General features: G+C 47.5%; 1 protein-coding gene across 1 annotated transcript in view, besides 1 other annotated feature; it reads right to left on the reverse strand.

Annotated features, from left to right (window-relative positions):
* The window catches only part of PTGIS (prostaglandin I2 synthase), a 64,264-nt gene continuing 49,387 nt past the window's right edge, over positions 3,786-18,662 (reverse strand). The window contains exons 7-10 of the mRNA NM_000961.4: positions 14,139-14,307; positions 12,992-13,173; positions 10,940-11,091; positions 3,786-7,976 (exon numbers count right to left, since the gene is read on the reverse strand). Coding sequence (NP_000952.1) covers positions 7,832-7,976; positions 10,940-11,091; positions 12,992-13,173; positions 14,139-14,307 — 648 coding nt within the window. The 3' untranslated portion in view covers positions 3,786-7,831. The remainder of the gene's footprint in view (positions 7,977-10,939; positions 11,092-12,991; positions 13,174-14,138; positions 14,308-18,662) is intronic.
* Positions 5,094-5,595: an enhancer, noted in NCBI's record as "H3K4me1 hESC enhancer chr20:48121719-48122220 (GRCh37/hg19 assembly coordinates)". NCBI's record gives its function as "activates a minimal SCP1, AML or CMV promoter by ChIP-STARR-seq in naive H9 embryonic stem cells {active_cell/tissue: H9 hESC(naive)}" and the evidence as "EXISTENCE:reporter gene assay evidence [ECO:0000049][PMID:30033119]".

An 18,662-nucleotide genomic window follows, 5' to 3' on the forward strand; every position in this document is an offset into this window, starting at 1 on the left:
GGATTTGTAGTCTCTTTCTCCTGGAATGTTCTTCCTCTAGTTCTTTACAAAGCTGCGATCTCTCATCTTGATCTCAACTCCTATCGCCACCTGCCTGGAGACTTTTCCTGACTGCCTCCAAGGCCACAGGCACATCCATCTCCGTGTCAGCATCCATCACCTCCTGCTGTTTGCTTGTCCTCAGCATCTGACACTGTATTTATGCTGATTTGTTTCTTTACTGGATGGCCTCTGCTGCCCAAATGTGAAATCTATGAGGGCAGAGACCTTGCCCGGACTAGTGCAGTCCCTTCCTCCCTGGTCTCCAGCTTCCCAGCCCTCAGCATGCACGGTGAGATGGATCCTCCTAGAATACAAGTTAAACCATGGCCCTTCTCTGCCCAGAGCCTTCCGTGGCTGCTGGCCACACTGCCTCCCTCCTGCTCCTAGAACCTGCCCCAGAGCTTCCCATCTTCACATTTGCCATTGCATCTCTCCAGAACATTCTTTCCTCAGATGCCCCAGTGGTTTGCTCCTCTCATTTCCATCGAGTTTCTGTTCAAAGCTCCCCCAGGGAGGCCATTCCTGCTCACTCTCTTTCAAATCTCACTTCCCATCTCCTGACTCCTTTATTCTTCTCCAAAGCACTTATCTCCATTTGAACTGCTTTATATTTTACTTATTTGCCTCATTTCTTACAGTTTCTCCCATGAGAATGTCAGCGCCGTGAAGACAGGGATATATCATTTTTTTGGTCTGTGTTACTCACTGCCGGGTCCTGTTGTCTAGAACAGTGCCTGGTACAATGAGAGGTGCTCAAAATATTTACTTAAAAAGTGCATAACAGCTTTCTTGAGGTATAATTCATATATCATAAAATTTGCCCACATGACCAGGAACAGCAGCTCACACCTATAATCTTAGCACTTTGCGAGGCTGAGGAGGGAGGATCATTTGAGCCCAGGAGTTTGAGACCAGCCTGGGCAACATGGCAAAACCCCCCTCTATCAAAATATACAAAAACAAAAATTAGCCAGGCAGGCATGGTGGCTCAGGCCTGTAGTCCCAGCTACTCAGGAGGCTGAGGTGGGAGGATAGCTAGAGCCTGAGAGGCAGAGGTTGCAGTGAGCTGAAATCACACCACTGCACTCCAGCCTGGGTGACAAAGTGTGACCCCTGTCTCAAAAAAAAAAAAAAAAATTGCCCATTTACTAGTACATTCACAGAATTTCACAACCATCACAGTGATCCATTTTAGTAGGTTTCATTAGTGGTCACTCCCTACTTCTCCCTATTTCCCCATCCCTGGAAACCACTAGCCAACTTCATGTCTCTATAGATTTGCCTATTCTGGACATTTCATGTACATTCAGTCCTATAATAAGTGGCCTTTTGTGACTGGCTTTTTTCTCTTAGCATAATATTTTCAAGGCTCATTTGTGTTGTAGCATATGTCAGTACTTGATTCCTTTTTATTGACAAATATTATTCCATTGGAATGGGGGATACATCACATTTTGCTTATCCATTTATCAGTTGGTGGACATCTGGATTGTTTCCACCTTTTGGGCTATTCAATATAGACTTTTGAGTGAGTGGTTGTGTTAATTCCAATATAAAACCTACCTTTCTGCTTTAGGGGTATTAAAATATCCTTTCATAAGCTGACAGTAGGAGTAAATGTATTTCTTAATGTCCTTACCTGGCAAAATAAAACACTGGGTCTTTCTGTTGACTTTAATGGTACAAGGGTATGAAAGGCCAAAGTCTTGGAGCTGCAGATCACTAGGACCTGGGTTATAACAAAGGCTAGGTCAGCGGCTCAGGGAAGCCAAGCCCTGTCCCTCTGGCCCTGCCATGTGGTTCAGACCATGACTGGTAAACAAGAGAGCATAACGCAGCACTTCTCAAACTGGGGTATGGTACCCCTCTGAGGGCACATACTGATGTCCTGAAGAGAAAGACTACATTTCCCAGCCTCCTGTCTGTCCAGCAAGCTGTGGTCATGTGATTGAGTTCTGACCAATGGGATGAATGCAGGGGTTTTTCTCTTCTTTGCTTCACCCTCTTTCCTGCTGGGTGGAATGTGGACAAAATGGCTGGAGCTTAAGCAGCCATAACGGCCCCTGAGGTGGAAACCACTGGTTACAGATGCTAGAGGGTCCAGAAAGGAGGGAACCTCATGATTGTGGAGATGTCACACCACCTCTGGCCTCCCGTATCTGCTTGAAAGAGAAAAAAAAAATGTGGCCATGCATGGTGGCTCATGCCTGTAATCCCAGCACTTTGGGAGGCCGAGGTGGGCAGATCACCTGAGGTCAGGAATTCAAGACCAGCCTGGCCAACATGGTGAAACCCCGTCTCTACTAAAAATACAAAAATTAGCTGGGTGTAGTGGCACATGCCCATAATCCCAGCTACTCAGGAGGCTGAGGTAGGAGAATCCCTTGAATCCGGGAGGCGGAGGTTGCAGTGAGCTGAGATCTCACCACTGCACTCCAGCCTGGGAGACAGAGCAAGACTCCATCTCAAAAAAAAAAAAAAAAAAAAACCTGTGGTATTGAATGAAAGCATGTTAATATATAACATGTTGCTATGTTACTTTGAGAAGTCTGTCACTCACTGCCAAATCCCATCCCACCTGATGTGCCTCCATGACCTCCTCACAGATGAGGAAACTGACGTGAGGCACATCTGCCCTGGGATATTATTTCTATACAAAGATTTGAGAGAAAAAACCAAATTTCTCTTTTTATTTCTCCCAAGGCTTATTTAATCCATTTCACCCCTTCTTTTTTATTTTAACATGAATGCATGCATTCTGGTGAAGGATGGACAGCATCCGGTGAATTTTAAAGAGAGCTTTTGTGTTGTCTGCTTGTTACCAGGGTCTACCCCAAAGTCCTCTAATGCGGCAGTCCCCAACCTTTTTGGCACCAGGGACTGATTTCATAGAAGACAATTCTTCCAGCGACCCAGGGGTGGGGGTGGGAGGTATGGTTTCAGGATGGTTCAAGTGCATTACGTTTATTGTGCACTTTATTTATATTATTATTACATTGTTTGAAATAGTGAGATAATTATACAACTCACCATAATGTAGAATCAGTGGGAGCCCTGAGCTTGTTTTCCTTCAGCTAGATGGTCCCATCTGGGGGTGATGGGAGACAGTGATAGATGACCAGGCATTAGATTCTCATAAGGAGTGCGAAACCTAGATTCCTCGCCTGTGCAGTTCACAATAGGGTTCGCCCTCCTATGAGAATCTAATGGTGCCACTGATCTGACAGGAGGTGGAGCTCAGGCAGTAATGTGAGTGATGGGGAGTGGCTGTAAATGTAGATGAAGCTTTGCTCACTCACTCGCCATTCACCTCCTGTTGTGCAGCCCATTTCTTAATAGGCCAAGGACCTATACTGATCCGTGGCCCAGGGGTTGTGGACCCCTGCTCTAATGGGTACCCAGTCCCTCTGCTGCCAGCCGGAGGATCACTGAAAGAAAGATCCTGAACACTGTCTCAGGCAGCAGAGGGTCCTGCATTTGAATTCCAGGTCTATTACCTCTTAGCCACACGTTCTCGGGCAAACCACTTCACCTCTCTGACCCTCAGTTTCTTTCTCTGTAAAAACGGGGATACTCATCTATGCCTTGGAGGGTGGGTAAAGGTGTGACTCAGTTCTGTCTGTGAGAGGCCTGGGCCCACAGCAAGGGACAGAGTAGATGCTCTGTGCTCTCCTGTCCCAAGAGCTGACCTCACCATTCCAGGCACGGCCAATGCCCTCCATCAGAATCACACTCAGAGGCAGTTCCACAAACAAAGATGGTTTAATAGATTTCAGCATGTTTCCACTTGACAATGTTATACGAAAATAGAATCTTTATTAAAATAGCAAGGCATAACAATCACTGCTACTCAGGAAACACTGTGTTTATTCTTTTTAATCATCAAAATCAATGACTTTGGGCAAGACCTGTGAAATCTCAGAGCCTGTTTCTCCATCTGGAGAACAGGCAGGTAGGGCATTGCCAGCTCCCTGTGAGTGGGGGCCACTGGTGGGAGGAGATGGCCCTGGTCGCCCATGGGATGAGAAACTTACTCCTGCTTCTGTCCCTGGAGAAGGTCAGGGAGATGCCAGTGTGGCCTTAAGGCAATTCTAACACTTGCTTATCTCGTTTTGTAACAGAGAAGAGAGAGCTCTCAGCCTTGGCCACACCAGCATGGAGCCCCCTTCCCCAGCGAATTTATTTTTCATGGTCACTTTCTATTTTTGGCAGTGAGTGATACATGTTATCCACTATTGGCAGCAATTGGGGGGAAAAAAAGTTCATTTTAAAAACAAAGTTTAGGCCGGGCATGGTGGCTCATGCCTGTAATCCTAGCACTTTGGGAGGCCCAGGCAGGCAAATCACGAGGTCAGGAGTTCGAGACCAGCCTGACCAACATGGGGAAACCCCGTCTCTACTAAAAATACAAAAATCAGTTGGGCGTGGTGGTGTGCGCCTGTAATCTCAGCTACTTGGGAAGCTGAGGCAGAAGCATTGCTTAAACCCAGGAGGTGGAGGTTGTGGTGAGCTGAGATCGTGCCATTGCACTCCAGCCTGGGCAATAAGCGTGAAACTCCGTCTCAAAAAAAAAAAAAAAAGTTTAAAAAGCGAGTCTGTTTAAAGGAGAATATTTGGTAAACAACAATATTAAAATATAGCAAATAATAGTAACAATAATCACAATGGTAAGGAAACACTTCATTAGATCAACTTAAGAGTATTTTATTCTTGGCTGGGCGCGGTGGCTCACACCTGTAATCCCAGCACTTTGGGAGGCCGAGGCGGGCAGATCACGAGCTCAGGAGATCAAGACCATCCTGGCTAATACGGTGAAATCCCATCTCTACTAAAAATCCAAAAATTAGCCGGGTGTGGTGGCGGGTGCCTGTAGTCCCAGCTACTCAGGAGGCTGAGGCAGGAGAATGGTGTGAACACGGGAGGCAGAGCTTGCAGTGAGCCGAGATCACGCCACTGCACTCTAGCCTGGGCAGCAGAGCGAGACTCCATCTCAAAAAAAAAAAAAAAAAAAGAGTATTTCATTCTTGCCACTGAGCTTAAAAAGAAAGAAAGAAAGAAAGAGTATTCCTAACATATGTCCAGTAATTTTGATTCTTAAGCAAGGGATGAAGAAATACAATGGCATCCAGGTAACTTCCTAACTAGCGCATAGCAGGTAGCTAACCCACTCATCTCTCCCTCTTTTCTTTATAGCTTCTATTTTTTTTAAAGAGAAAAATAACGATTAAAACAAGGGCAGGTTTAAATAATCGTCTCCTGAGCTGCACTTCAGTATCTCAGGTAACAGCTGGAGCTGCCTGGTGGGAGCACATCTTTTCCTTGAGTGTAATTCACTAATGACTGTGGTTCCAAGGAGGTGCGACCTTTAAAGGGAATTGGCCCTTCTTTGAAGGCAGGTGAGAATCTAGTCTCAGTGACAACCCAGCCTGATTTGGAAGGGGGGAGTCATAAGGGTTTTCGCCCAGCACACCAGGGTTGCAGCCTGCGCAAGACCTTCCATAGCTATTTCTGCCGGCTTGCTTCCTTCCCTTCCCAGCCACGATGAGGCAGCTGAGGGTTGCCACGGAAACCGGCTCTGTCCTCCCACTGGAGGCTGCCAGCTCTGATTTCCTGCAGAGTTAAGAAGGAGGCGGCAGTGGGGGTCACCCAGGCGTGAAGATGGGTTTCCCTGGGGATATCCTGCCTCCTGCCAATCACAGCGTCTCTCTGGGAATCCTGGGGGTGCCTGGAGGCTGAGGCCCAGGGAAGCCCCCAAACCCCAGTGCTGCTCTGAGAAGAGACTAGCCTCTGGGACATTCAGAGGTCTGGGGTTCTTTTATCTCCCTCCAGCTAAAGCTAGAGGGACCTCATTATGTGTCTTACAAGATGTACCCAAGTTTAGGTGCCTCTGGCTCTGTCAGCTCCTGAAGTCGAGAAGAATTGTCCCATCACCAGTCCCCTTGAGCCCAAAGAACAGGAGTTGCTCATCCAGCATTTGCTCCTGGGACAGTAAATCTGCCTGCAGAGTTCTACAGCTTATGAGCTATGTGGCCCCAGGCAAGTCACCTCACCTCTCAGTTTTCTCATCTATGAAGTGGGCACAACCCTCCTTCTCTTCATAGAGATGCTGTGAGGAGTAGACATACTGTCTGTAGGGTCTCTCGCAGGCATTTAAAGGGTCTCAATAAACAGGACTTTATATTAATAAAAATAGCATCATAAAAAAGGTTTGCAGGCCATTTTTCTCTTTAAGCTGTTTTTTATTTTAATTAATTATTTATTTATTGAGACAGAGTCTTGCTCTGTCGCCCAGGCTGGAGTGCCGTGGCGCAGTCTCAGTTCACTGCAACCTCCACCTCCTGGGTTCAAGCAATTCTGGTGCCTCAGCCTCCTGAATAGCTGGGATTACAGGCACGCACCGCCACACCTGACTAATTTTTTTATGTTTAGTAGAGACGGGGTTTCGCCATGTTGGCCAGGCTGGTCTTGAACTCCCGACCTCAAGTGATCCGCCCACCTCGGCCTCCCAAAGTGCTGGGATTACAGGCAAGCCGGGGCAAAGGCAAATTTTCATCACTGATACATTTGTTCAAAGGGTGGTGCACTCAGGCTGGGTTGGACCAATTAGCTGGTCCCCACCACCTCTTACAATGTCACTTCTAAGAGTTAGAACAGGGTCTCACACTCAGATGCCTTCAGGTCCAGGAGGCGCTGTGAATGCAGAAGCAGACCCGGTCAGAACCCTGGTGAAGCCGAGAGCACATGTCCTGCATAAGGGAGGCGGCTGCCACTCAGCTCTGGCCAAGAGTTACCCTTGGGAATGTGAGCCCAGTGTGGCCAGATATACCAAGTTTTCAAGAGAAGCTGGACATTTTGAATGAACTCTCCCAAAGATGATAACAACTAAGGCATTTTTTTAAGTGAAGTCCAAACAAAACACGTCTGCAGACTGGATCGTGATCACAGTTGGGGCTTCTGCACTAGAATGCATGAAATCGGCACCTTCTTTTTTGGCTTGATCAGTCTAAGGAGTCCTGGCTGGCTCCTTCCAGCCATCTTGTCTGGGCTGTGTCTTCCTTAGCTCCCTACCTGAGTGCTGACACTGAGAAAGCCCATCCCATCTGGTGCCTGTCACTCTAGAACAGAGAACTCCACTCCTCAGAGCCCAGTGTTTGGAGGGTGCCCCTGTTCTGCACCGGGAATGCATCAGCCTTGGGGGAAGCTCTCCTGCATTTTCTCAAGTAGTGTGAGCAATGGGGCAATCTGGCAAATGGGGCCCCAGGGAAGCAGATCTTCTAAGGGACTCCTTTGGTTTTAGCTAGTTTAAGGATTATTGGGGGACTGACTGCTGAATGACATCAATGGACACAAAGGACATCCTGAGTGGCCTTTCTGTGGCCAGCATCCGCTTTGACTGGATAAGGCCCGGGCCATGCTAGCTCATAAGAACTAGGAAGGTGACACCTCCGGGAGTTGGGGGCAGAGCAGTGAAGACTCCTAGTTCTGCCTTATCTGAATAGCATTTGTGGATATCACGAGGTGAGAGTAACGAGGTGAATTGGGAGCAGACAAAGCCTGATTTTGGAAAGAAAACTTTGCAGTGGATAATCCATAGAGCTTTCAATGTCTTTTCTTTGTTCACCCTCTTAGCTTTTCCCTCCCCTGGACCCAGCCTTCTGGGAGAAAAGCAGGGAAGTGGTAATGCTAGCACCTGCACCCGGGCCAACTGTGCACACAGAAAGCTGGGAGGCTGGGGCAGGCTGGGGCAGGCTGGGCAGAGGCGAGCACGTGGATCCATCTGCTCCCTGTGTCATGGGCGGATGCGGTAGCGGACGGGCACGTCGTGTTCCGGCTGCATCAGACCGAAGCCGTACCTGCTGAGGTCAAACTCAGGGATCTCCACATCTGCGTTGATCAGCTCCAAGTCCAAGTGCACCAGCACAAGGAACACAAATCTGCAGAGAGATGGCATGGAAGGTGTGAAGGAGAGGAGTAGGGCAGGGGGTTATCGGGAACAAGGCAGGGGAGCCATGGCTGCCTCCTAAGTCTGACTCCAACTTTGAGTAAAGTGAGGAGAGGAGTGAGGAAGTAGAAGAAACGCATTTGCTGCTCACCACATTTGCCAGCCCCCTGTAAGGTTAGGCAGGCCCGTGGATGAGTTCTGGTGAATGGGCTGTGTGCAGAAGTGGCCTGTGTCACTCCTGTGTCAAAGCATTCGCGAGCCAGTGTGTGGCTCTCCAGCTGTCCCTCCTGCCTGGCAGCCATGCAGGCTTCACATTGAGACGGTGGAGCCGAAAGAGGGAAAGAGCCTGGCCCGAGTCTGTGCACAGAGTGGGGAAGCCCTCCAATCCCACAGCTGATACCGTGTGAGTGGAACTACACCTCTGTTGGTAAAAGCCACTGAGACTCGGCAGGTGCAGAGCTGAGCCTGTGCTGATTAATACGGCGACTCCTCTGGATCCTCCAGCCCACACACTTTGCCGCCTTTCCCCACACTCCTGGAACCCTCACTGTCTATCTTGGCCAGGACTGCTGCTAACCCTTAGGTGTCTTTGTGAGATTAGAAACAGGCATCGCTCTCAAGACATTTTACTGCCATCTCTGAGAAAATTGTCCTAAATAGACCAACTTTGCAAGAACAAGCACTCTCTACTGCCATCTTCTGGGAAAACTGTCATAATAACTATTCGCAGCTGCCATGCCTATGATGTAATCAGTGCCCCCATAAATGTGGAGGCAGCCCTACGGGGGATGTCAACGGTTGCTGCCTCCCTGCCTCATCTTACCAATGCCCATGTTCGTAAGGGTCAGGAGAATATCTTATGACTCTTTTCCCACCACTATTCCCTACCCCAACCCAGGCGCCCGATGCAGCACTGAGCACATGGTGGGGATTCTTTTGTCTCACTGAAGGAGTGAAGAAGAGGGCAGATGAGGAGAGAGGGGAGTTAACACTCTGGACAGATCTGGGCTGTGCCGCTTATGGGAATGTGGCCCTCGCCAAGTTCTTACCCACTCTGGGTCTCAGTTCTCCCATCTGGTCAAAGAGGGGAAAGGCATGTTGAGTCTCTTCCAGCTCTGAGGCTGTAGGAAACTAGAGGGTGAGTTTCTAAGGGATGGCGGTTTTGTGCCCACCCCTGGATTTGAACTCCTGCACCTCCACTTCCTGGGAACACGGCAAATGATCTGACCTGCCTAGACTCGGTTTTAGATGGACCAGCAGGGTTGTCATGACAATTCAGTGAGATAAAAATAACAACAAATTAGCTAATTTATTGGAACACTGTGCGCTAGGCACCATCTAAGCATTTAGTACCCGCTATCTCTTTTTATCTGTCCAAAAACTTGATGAGGTAGGAATGCCAGTCGGTTCTGCTCTAACACTTGTTTTGAACAGGTGAATTTGTTCCAATAGGATTGATATATTAGGGCACCATTTGAATATAATGCAAGTTTCACATTTGCTCACGTGCAATTTCACTTGTGAGAAACATGAGGTGAAGACGAAAGACTGCACCCAGCTGAACCTGGGTGTGCAGAAATCCATAAAATATACACATGCACACAACTAAGCATCGATCTACAGCCACAGTTATTACAGCACTTACATAGTTCTTAGCCAGGTAACATGTATAAAACTTTACTACCATTTTTTTTACTGGGTTCTTCTCTCTCTCTCTTTTTTTTTTATTATGTCACTGATGAGGTTTTTGAGTGTTGGCCCCAGTCCCCCTTTTCCCTCAATCCCTGCAGTTTTTTCTTTCTTTCTTTCTTTTTTTTTTTTTTTTTTTTTTCTGGAGACAGAGTCTCACTCTGTCGCCCAGGCTGGAGTGCAACGGCGCAATCTTGGCTCACTGCAATCTCCACCTCCTGGGTTCAAGAGATTCTCCTGCCTCAGCCTCCTGAGTAGTTGGGATTACAGGCACGCTCCACCACACCCGGCCAATTTTTGTATTTTTAGTAGAGACGGGGTTTCACCATGTTGGCTAGGCTGGTCTCCAACTCCTGGCCTCAAATGATCTGCCCACCTCGGCCTCCCAAAGTGCTGGGATTACAGGCGTGAATCCCTGCAGTTTTTGTTGCATGATTTCACACAGCAAGGTGATTTTAAGGAATGCATATGAGCTGTATTATGTTCATAATTGACTCCATTTTCTTGAGGAAACTGAGGCTAAAGGTTTATGTAACGTGCCCACTCACTTAGCACAATGCATGCACAATAATGATATTAACAATTATGGTAATAATTAACATTTTTCAAATGCCTACAATGAGCCAGACAGTGGGTTAAGAACTTAGAAAGATCCAATTCATTTATCCTGACACTCCTGGGGTATAGTTATAATCAGAACCCTCATTTTACAGTTGAGGAAACAGGCTCAGAAGGTAACCCAGCTTATGATTGCACAGGGGCTGGACAGGAGGACAGGGCAGATGTCATAACCCCTGGTCCAATCTGTTTGTGATCCTGGTGGCCAAAGCTCCTGGGGTTCAAGGGAGATAATTTATGAGGCTCTCGGCCCCACAGGTATTAAAATAACCAAGTGGGAACAGTGAAGTTCGGCCAGTTCCTAACATGAAGTTCTGAACATGCGGCAGCAGCTGCAGACGGGTAGCTACGGTCAGCTGAAAGGAATGTCCAGTATTTGGAATCTGGACACCAGTCTTGGAGGGAAGAACCTGCTGCCAGATCTGATTATTTCAAAAGAAATCCGAAATCTGGCTTTTTTACACGAGCTCTTCTGATTTATAAAAGCACACAGTTGTAAAACCACAAATAAGAGATGGCTCACGGGCTGTCCATGTGAAGCCTCTGCCAAACCATTCTCCTGGCTGAGCCCTCAGTCCCAGGAGAGAAGGGCGCCTGCCAACCAGGGGATCAGGAGCCACCCTGGCCCTGCCCTGGCCCCCCACTCACTGTTTGATGCTGTTGACCGCATAACTCCTCCCCAGGCAGTGATTGTGCCCCGCCCCCCAGGGCATGTTGTAATTCTTCAGCCGTTTCCCATCCTTGTAAAAGTCTTTCTTCTCTGATCCGTCAGGGTTCAGGAATCGGTTGTATTTAAATACCTGAAATAGGAAGAAGGTCCTTTTCTGACCCCATTCCCAGAACAAGCTCACACCAAGAAAAATGTATGAGGATGTTCATGACAGTCATGTTTATAAGAGGGAAAAACTGGAAACCATATACAGGTCAATTGATAGGGGATTGGTTAAAAAATTATGGCAAAAGGTTTGTGTGTACTGACATGGAAAGAATTTCTACAATTGGTTGTTGAGTGAAAAAAGCAAGTTTCAGAATAGTATATATTGCATGATCCTATACACACACCAATCTTTTCATGGCATGTGAATGTGTTGTGTGTATGCCTGTAAAGCCATGAAAACAATTCGCAAGGCACACTCCAAACCTTGGTCAGAGAACTCTGTAGAACTGGAGAAGAAGGGAAATACATATTTTTTACATTTAAGTATATATTTCTCTGTATTTCTTTATATTCTATGATATATATTACTTTTGTAATGTAAAATAAAAGAAATTAAAATATTTTTTAAAAAGAAAATGCCAATTTCCTTTGGTTACACTGCACAGTGGTAAGGCAAGGGTTGTAGCTGAGCACAGAGCTTGGCATGGAGTAGCTGCCGACTGAAAGATGGGTGGAAGGATAGGTGAATGAACCAGTGGATAGACTAAGAGATGGAAATGTGGATGGAAAGATGGATGAATGGAGGGATGGATAGATGGATGGATGGGTAGATGGGGTGGATGGATGGATGGGTAGATGGGTGAATGAATGGGTAGATTGATGGGTGGATGGATGAATAAATGGATGAATGGACAAATGGATGGATGGATGAGTAGATGGGTGGATAGATGGATGGATGGGTGGATAAGTAGAAGAATGGGTGGATGGACATATGAGTGAGTGGGTAGATAAATGAGTGGGTGGATGGATGGATAAATGAGTAGATGATTGAATGGACAGACGGATGGATAGATGGATGGATTCATGGGTAGGTGGGTGGATGAAAGAGTAGCTTCATGGGTGGATGGATGGATGGATGGGTGGATGGATAGATTAATGGATGGGTAGATGGGTGAGTATGTGGATGGATGGATGGATGCATGGATGCATGGGTGGATGGATAGATTAATGGATGGATGGGTGAATTTGTGAATGGATGAATGGACAGATGGATGCATGGGTAGATGAGTGGATGGATGGATAGATGAGTGGATGGGTGGCTGGATGGATAAATGAATGGGTAGATGGGTGGATGAAAGGGTAAATTGGTGGGTGGATGGATGAATGGATGGGCGGATGGATAGATGAATGGATAGGTAGATAAGTGAGTGTGTGGATGGATGGATGAATACATGAATAGACAGATGCATGAGTAGATGGGCAGATGAATGAATGGATGGATAGATGAGCATGTAGTTTAGGGTCTGACACACAGTAAACACCCAATCTGTTAGCAATTGTGAAAGTTTACTTCTTCTCAAAGTCTGGGGCAAGGCAAAAGTGTTGAGAAACTGACATTATAACAATCTGAAATAAGGAAAATGGCTGAGCTATCACAAAGCACTCAGTGTGAATGAACATCCCCTCATGTTCTAGGGTTCCTCAGAGACCCTTGAACATGAGGGGATCTGGGTCTGACTCCAAGAGAAGCTGTGAAAAAAGGTAGGAGCCAAAGAGATATCAGAAGGCTGGGGAGAGAGTGGGGCCATCAATATCTGCTTATGCATGATCCCATTTAATCTTCCTATCAATCTCATGAGGCAGGTGCTATTATGAGGTCCATTTCACAGGTGAGGAAGCAAACACAGAGAGGTGAAGCAATCTGGGCAATGTCACATAGCAAACAAAGAGCAGAGCCAGGCTGCCACTCAGATCTGGCTCATCCCAAAGTCACTGATTGTTCTCCCACAGACCCCATATGACCAGGCGCCCCTGCCATTTACCTCTGGGTCTGTGTAGATTTCTGGGTCTCTCTGGGGGCTCAGGAAGGGGAAGAGGAGGAGGCGGTCACCACGTCGCAGGTTGAATTCTCGCCCGTCTGCCATGGGCATGGCCAGGTCCACCACAACCTCGCGGGTGATGAAGGGGGCAGCTGTAAGCCTGAGGCTCTCACTCAGCACGCTATCTGCATGGGGCAGGTGCAAGGAAGAGTCAGCGGGCTATCCCTTCACCTGCTCATATGCCAACCCCAGCTCTTATTTTACAGAGGAAGATGAAGAGGCTCAGAGAGGGTGCCTGCCTCGCCCACACAGTCACATAGCAAGGTGAAAAAGGACACACGATGACATGTGGTCTCTGTGGTCCCTCAGAGACGTTTGAACATGAGGGTATCCAGGTCTGACCCCAAGAGAAGTTGTGAGGGAAGGTGGGAGCTAGGGAGATATCAGAAGGCTGGGGAGAGAGTAGGGCCATCAATCTCTGTTCCTGTCTGCCCGGCATATATTTCTCTTCTGGAAACGGGCCCCTGATTTTCCTCTAGGGTCCACCCCTCTCTCATTCTCAGGGGTTAGACTGCTGCTTCTATGCTCAACTCCTGGGATGGGGCTGTGACTGGCCAATCAGAGCATCCCTCTGAGCCCTGTGATTGGTTCAGGATGGACACATGACCCAAAGAAAGCCAATGAGACACAGTCTTGGGACTCTTGGTGGGAACACTGTAAGAGATTCAGAGTCTCACAGAGCCAGGAGGAAGTCAGCCTTGAGCTGCCAACAGCTACTGCCAGCCTGAGACTGGAGCCAACCCAGTGGGAAACAGGGCTGAGAGGTGGAGAGGAACTGAGTAGTCCTGACGACATTGTTAAAGTGCATGGATCCACCTGTGCCTGAAGCCAATCCTCTGGGCTTTTTAGTGACATGTCTCAAAGTACCTTTTCACCTTAGTCAATTGAAGTTAGGTTTTCTGTCACTTGACCCCTAGCTGAGGCTGGAGTATGGAGATGCCAGGTGTGTGAAGATAGGAGGCTTAGGGAGACCCTAGGTCGGAGGACACACTGATGGACCCTGGAAGACAGGAGTCCATGTTGGGGAGGGCTTTGGGGGTCCATGATGACGCAGTCTTAGGGGCTATCTTGGAGGGTCTGACGATCTCACCAAGCACAGGTGTGCTGTCTAGAACCTTCTGTGGGAGAGTGGTCGTCTGCGAGACAGGCTGCTCCGCTTGCCAAAGGATACTCTCGAGCTCTCCGCGGACAGCAGCCAGGGCTTCAGGATTCTTGAGAAGGAAGAGCAGGAGCCAGAAGGCAGCGGGACCCATATTCCCCTGCAAGGAGAAGGGCCCCTGTTATGCCATTATGAGGGCAGAGCTGACTCGTCTCTGCCAGGGACACAGCTCGGGCCAAGACAGAGGGGCCAGTAGGCCTGGGTTCCCACTGCTGCCAAACACCCAGGCATGACCAGTGTCTATCTCCAGCCTCAGGACATGGCCAAAACTGCCCTGTGGCCCAAAATACCTACTTCAAGGCCACTCGTGGCATCCCTGACTGTGTGCAAAGTCACTAATCCTAGGTCACACAGGTAATCTTCATAGCTAATCAGCAAAACAGTGTCAGTAATAGGAACAGGGTATATCAGTTAAGACTGTTCACATCTGAGAATGATCACATTGTTGGCCCCAATTCTTCCCCAATCGCAGAATCCACGCTCCTTACCATGTGAATTTGCTGTTCCTCCTATTCAAGAGCCAGAGCGTATTTCCCCTGCCCTTTGAATTTATGCTCAGCCGTGGACTTGCTTTGGCCAATAGATTGAGGTGGAATTGAAGGAACAGCCACTCTACGCCTAAGCCGCGAGAGACTTTGTGTTTCCACTTGCTCGGCAAGCCCACTGATCCCAAGAGGAGGATGAGAGACTCATGGACAGAGCTGAGCTGCCCCAATGAGCCAGACCCACAGACCCGTGAGTTAAATAAATGCTGATGGGTGTATGCCGCTGATGAGTTGTTATGGATGTTTGTTATGCAACAATAGCTAACTGGTGTGATATCTAAAGATTTGCTTCCAAATATAATCATTCTTGATGTAGTTTGGGAAGCAAAAAGTTCCCTATATGCTTTGTATCTTCAAATTCTATCAGTCACTTGAAGAATAAATGTGTGTGTGTTGTGTACGTATAAAACAAAGCCGCAATCATCATTGATGACTGAAAGCTATGAATAAAAATTATTTAAACTTCCCAATAGATAAACACTTAGGAAAACGAGTGGAATTTCTTGCTTCAAGGCTTCAGTCTTAGCTGAACATTTTCATACACATTTTAGCCTCAGCTCTTTGGTATGTGGCTAAAATGTGTATATGGCACCCTTTAGTGATCCAGATATGGGAAGAATACCAACTAATCTCAATTTGGGGGAAGGTTTTTGTCTGCCGTGACTATTCTATTCAATCATAATAATGGAATATTAAATCATCATTAAATATCATGTTTACCCACTAATTTCATTACAGACATAATTACACATGGGCAAAAGGACATATGCACAAAGATAATTATTGCAGTGCTCATGTAATAGAAAAATGCTGGAAACAATCTCATGTCTATCAATAAGAGATCAATGAGATCAATGAAGATCCATCCATTGGATGATGTGATGCAGGAAGTCATTAAAAAGAAGCTGGCTCTGTGTGTACCGATGTGGGACTGTAGCCAAGACACACAGAAGCATGCAAACGCAAGGTGCAGGGTGGTGGCTCAGCATGCTGCCATTTGTGTGTTTGTTTAAAGAGAAATATACATGAAGAAGTACAGACCATCTCTTTTTTTTTTTGAGACAGGGTCTTGCTCTGTCACCCAGGGTGGAATGCAGTGGCACAATCATAGCTCACTGCAGCCTCGACCTCCTAGGCTCAAGTGATCCTTCTGCCTTAGCCTCCCAAGGAGCTGGGGCCACAGGCATGTGCTACCCAGCTAGGTTTTTTTTTTTTTTTTGGTAGAGATGGAGGTCTCCCTATGTTTCCCAGGCTGATCTCAAACTCCTGGCCTCGAGCAGTCCTCCTGCCACAGCCTCCCAAAGAAGCACAGACCATCTCTAAGAGACACCAGAAACGGGTAACTGAGGTTACCTTGGGACAGAAGCTGGGAAGACAAGAGGATAAGGAGGAAGGAGGCTGACTTTCCTTGCAAATACCTTTTAAACTGTTCAAAATTTTTTAATGGACACACTAATTTTAAGTGAAACAGAAGCCACCCAGGCTGGAGTGCAATGGCACGATCGTGGCTCACTGCAACCTCCACCTCCTGGGCTCAAGTGATCCTCCTACTTCAGCCTCCCAAGTAGCTGATACAAGCATGCACCACCATGCCCGGCTAATCTTTCTATTTTTTGTAAAGATGAGGTCTCACTATGTTTCCCAGGCTGTATCCAAATCATTTCTACAGTGATGTACAATGTCATGAGAGATGCTCATGTTACAATATTAAACCAAATAGAAGGTTAGATTAAAACAGCTGCATGATCTTAACCACAGAAGAAAAACCTATGGGGAAAGGCTGGAAAGAAATGCACCATAGCATTAGTGATGGTGAGATAGATTTTGCCTTCCTCTTTAGTGCCCGTGAGGCCAGGAGGAACCACACTCCTCTGCTCAATACTTCCATCACGCAGGTGCCATTATTAGGCCTTTTACTGAAAAGGAAAACGAAGTACTCCCCGGTCACTACCCACTGCCCAGCATATAGTGGAGGCTCACTGATATTTGTCAAATAAACATCTGCATCCCTTTGGATTAGAGGTGGAGCTCCAAGACAGCCTGGGAGGTGGGCTAGAAGATCCCTGGACTGAGACCAGGTAGAGGTGGGTTCAAATCCCAGCTCCCCACTTTCTGTGACTGTGGACAAGTCACGTCCCCCTTTGGGTCTCAACACTGGGGGTAACATTGCCACCTCCTGGGTGGACGCAAGGGTCCAGTGAGGCTGAATGCAAGCAATCCCACACGTGCTGCGCCCATAGTAGGTGCTCAGAAGTGGTTACTCCTCCCCCACTGGCCCCTCCCCTGGATTTGAAAACAAGTCGGGGGGGCCTCCGGCCCTTTCTGAGAGTTCCACCAGCACCTCAGGTCCAGCTGACACAGCAAGGTCACCTGCTGTCCATCACTTAAATAGCCAGGCAAATGCGGATGATAAATAATTCAACACCAGCTTAGCTCAGCGCCAAGGCCATTTTATCTGGCCCAGATGGTTAGATGGGGGCCACCGCTCATTAATTACCAAGCAGGAGTGGAACACATGGGCGCTTGGCTATCTCTGCCTGCAGGAAAAAGCTGTGGCAAGTTAGGGAGGTGACCAAGACCGCCTTTTACCCAACTGCACAGATGTGAGTGTGAGTGTGTGTGTGTGTGTGTGTGTGTGCACACACAACCATAAGAGATCCTGAATTTGCCACCCTGGAATTTGAGCTTTCACCCACGGAGCCTTGCCTCCGTTTACTCAGGAAGACACTTCTTGTTTGTCTTCATTCCCTCCTACTGCAGCCAAAGGCCATGACCCAAAAGCAGTGCCACCCCTGTTCTAGCTTTCCTGTGAATGGCAGTGGCTGACCTCTGGGAGGCACTGACTGCGGGCCAGACCACACCCTTGGTGATTCACATGCTCCTTCTTGTTGCCTCCTGACAACATGGCCCATCAGTGGAAGTGGGGGACTTCCGCTGCCCGCTCCTGCCTGCATCCGCTTCCTTGTCGTTGGTAACAGCACCCCACTTTCCTTCAAAGAACCACCTCCTCTTAAGTCTAAGTCCATGTGGGCCATCCAGGACTGACCCATCCTTCCAGACTTCAAGTGTGGGCATGGGACCCAGGCGGAGGCACTGAGTGATCCACGCAGAGTGGGGCATATGACGTGGGCTGGGCCAGTGAGTATCAGTCTTGGGAGCTGTGCTAGAATTTAGGGGAAGGGAAGCCCTCCTCCATGGGATTGCTAAATTGCCTAGAGCTACTGGAGGCCATTGTAGTCATCCCCCAGGGGGAGACCCTCTGAGGATGTAGCCTGGCAGAAGAAGGGAGACCTGAGGGATGGGGGTCACAGATTGTGTTTCTTTTAATTTTTATGATTTAGAAGATTCCAACGGAATAAAAGAATATCCCGAGTGTGATGATGTGTTAGTGTAGGTCATAAATTGTAACAAATGTGCCACTCTGCTGAGGGACACCAGCGATGGAGAGGCGAGGCATTGGGAGAAGGGGGCTAAGGGAGATCCCTGCACCTTTCCTTCAATTTTGTTGTGAACCTAAATCTGCTGTAAAAATAGAGTCTATTTAAAACAAACAAACAAAAGCCCTAAGTGCAATGTGGGATTGTGGATTGGCTCCTGGAAGAGAAAAAGAATATTAGTAGAAAAACTGGGGCAATGTGAATAAAGTATAGACTTTAGTTACTAGCAATGTCCCAATGTGAATTTCTTAGTCTTGATGAATGTATTGTGGTTATGTAACATTAGGGAAAGCTGGGTGAAGGGTATTTGGGAACTCCTGTACTATCTTTGCAACTCTTTTATAATCTAAAATTATTTCAAGATAAAACTACTGAAGACAAAAAAAAAAACAAACAAAAAAACCAACCCTCTTTACAGATGGTGAAACTTAAGCCCAGAAAAGTGACTTGTTTGAGGTCACATAACTAGTTTA

This window comes from Homo sapiens, chromosome 20, assembly GCF_000001405.40.
Source record: "Homo sapiens chromosome 20, GRCh38.p14 Primary Assembly".
In the NCBI taxonomy this organism is placed as follows: domain Eukaryota; kingdom Metazoa; phylum Chordata; class Mammalia; order Primates; family Hominidae; genus Homo; species Homo sapiens.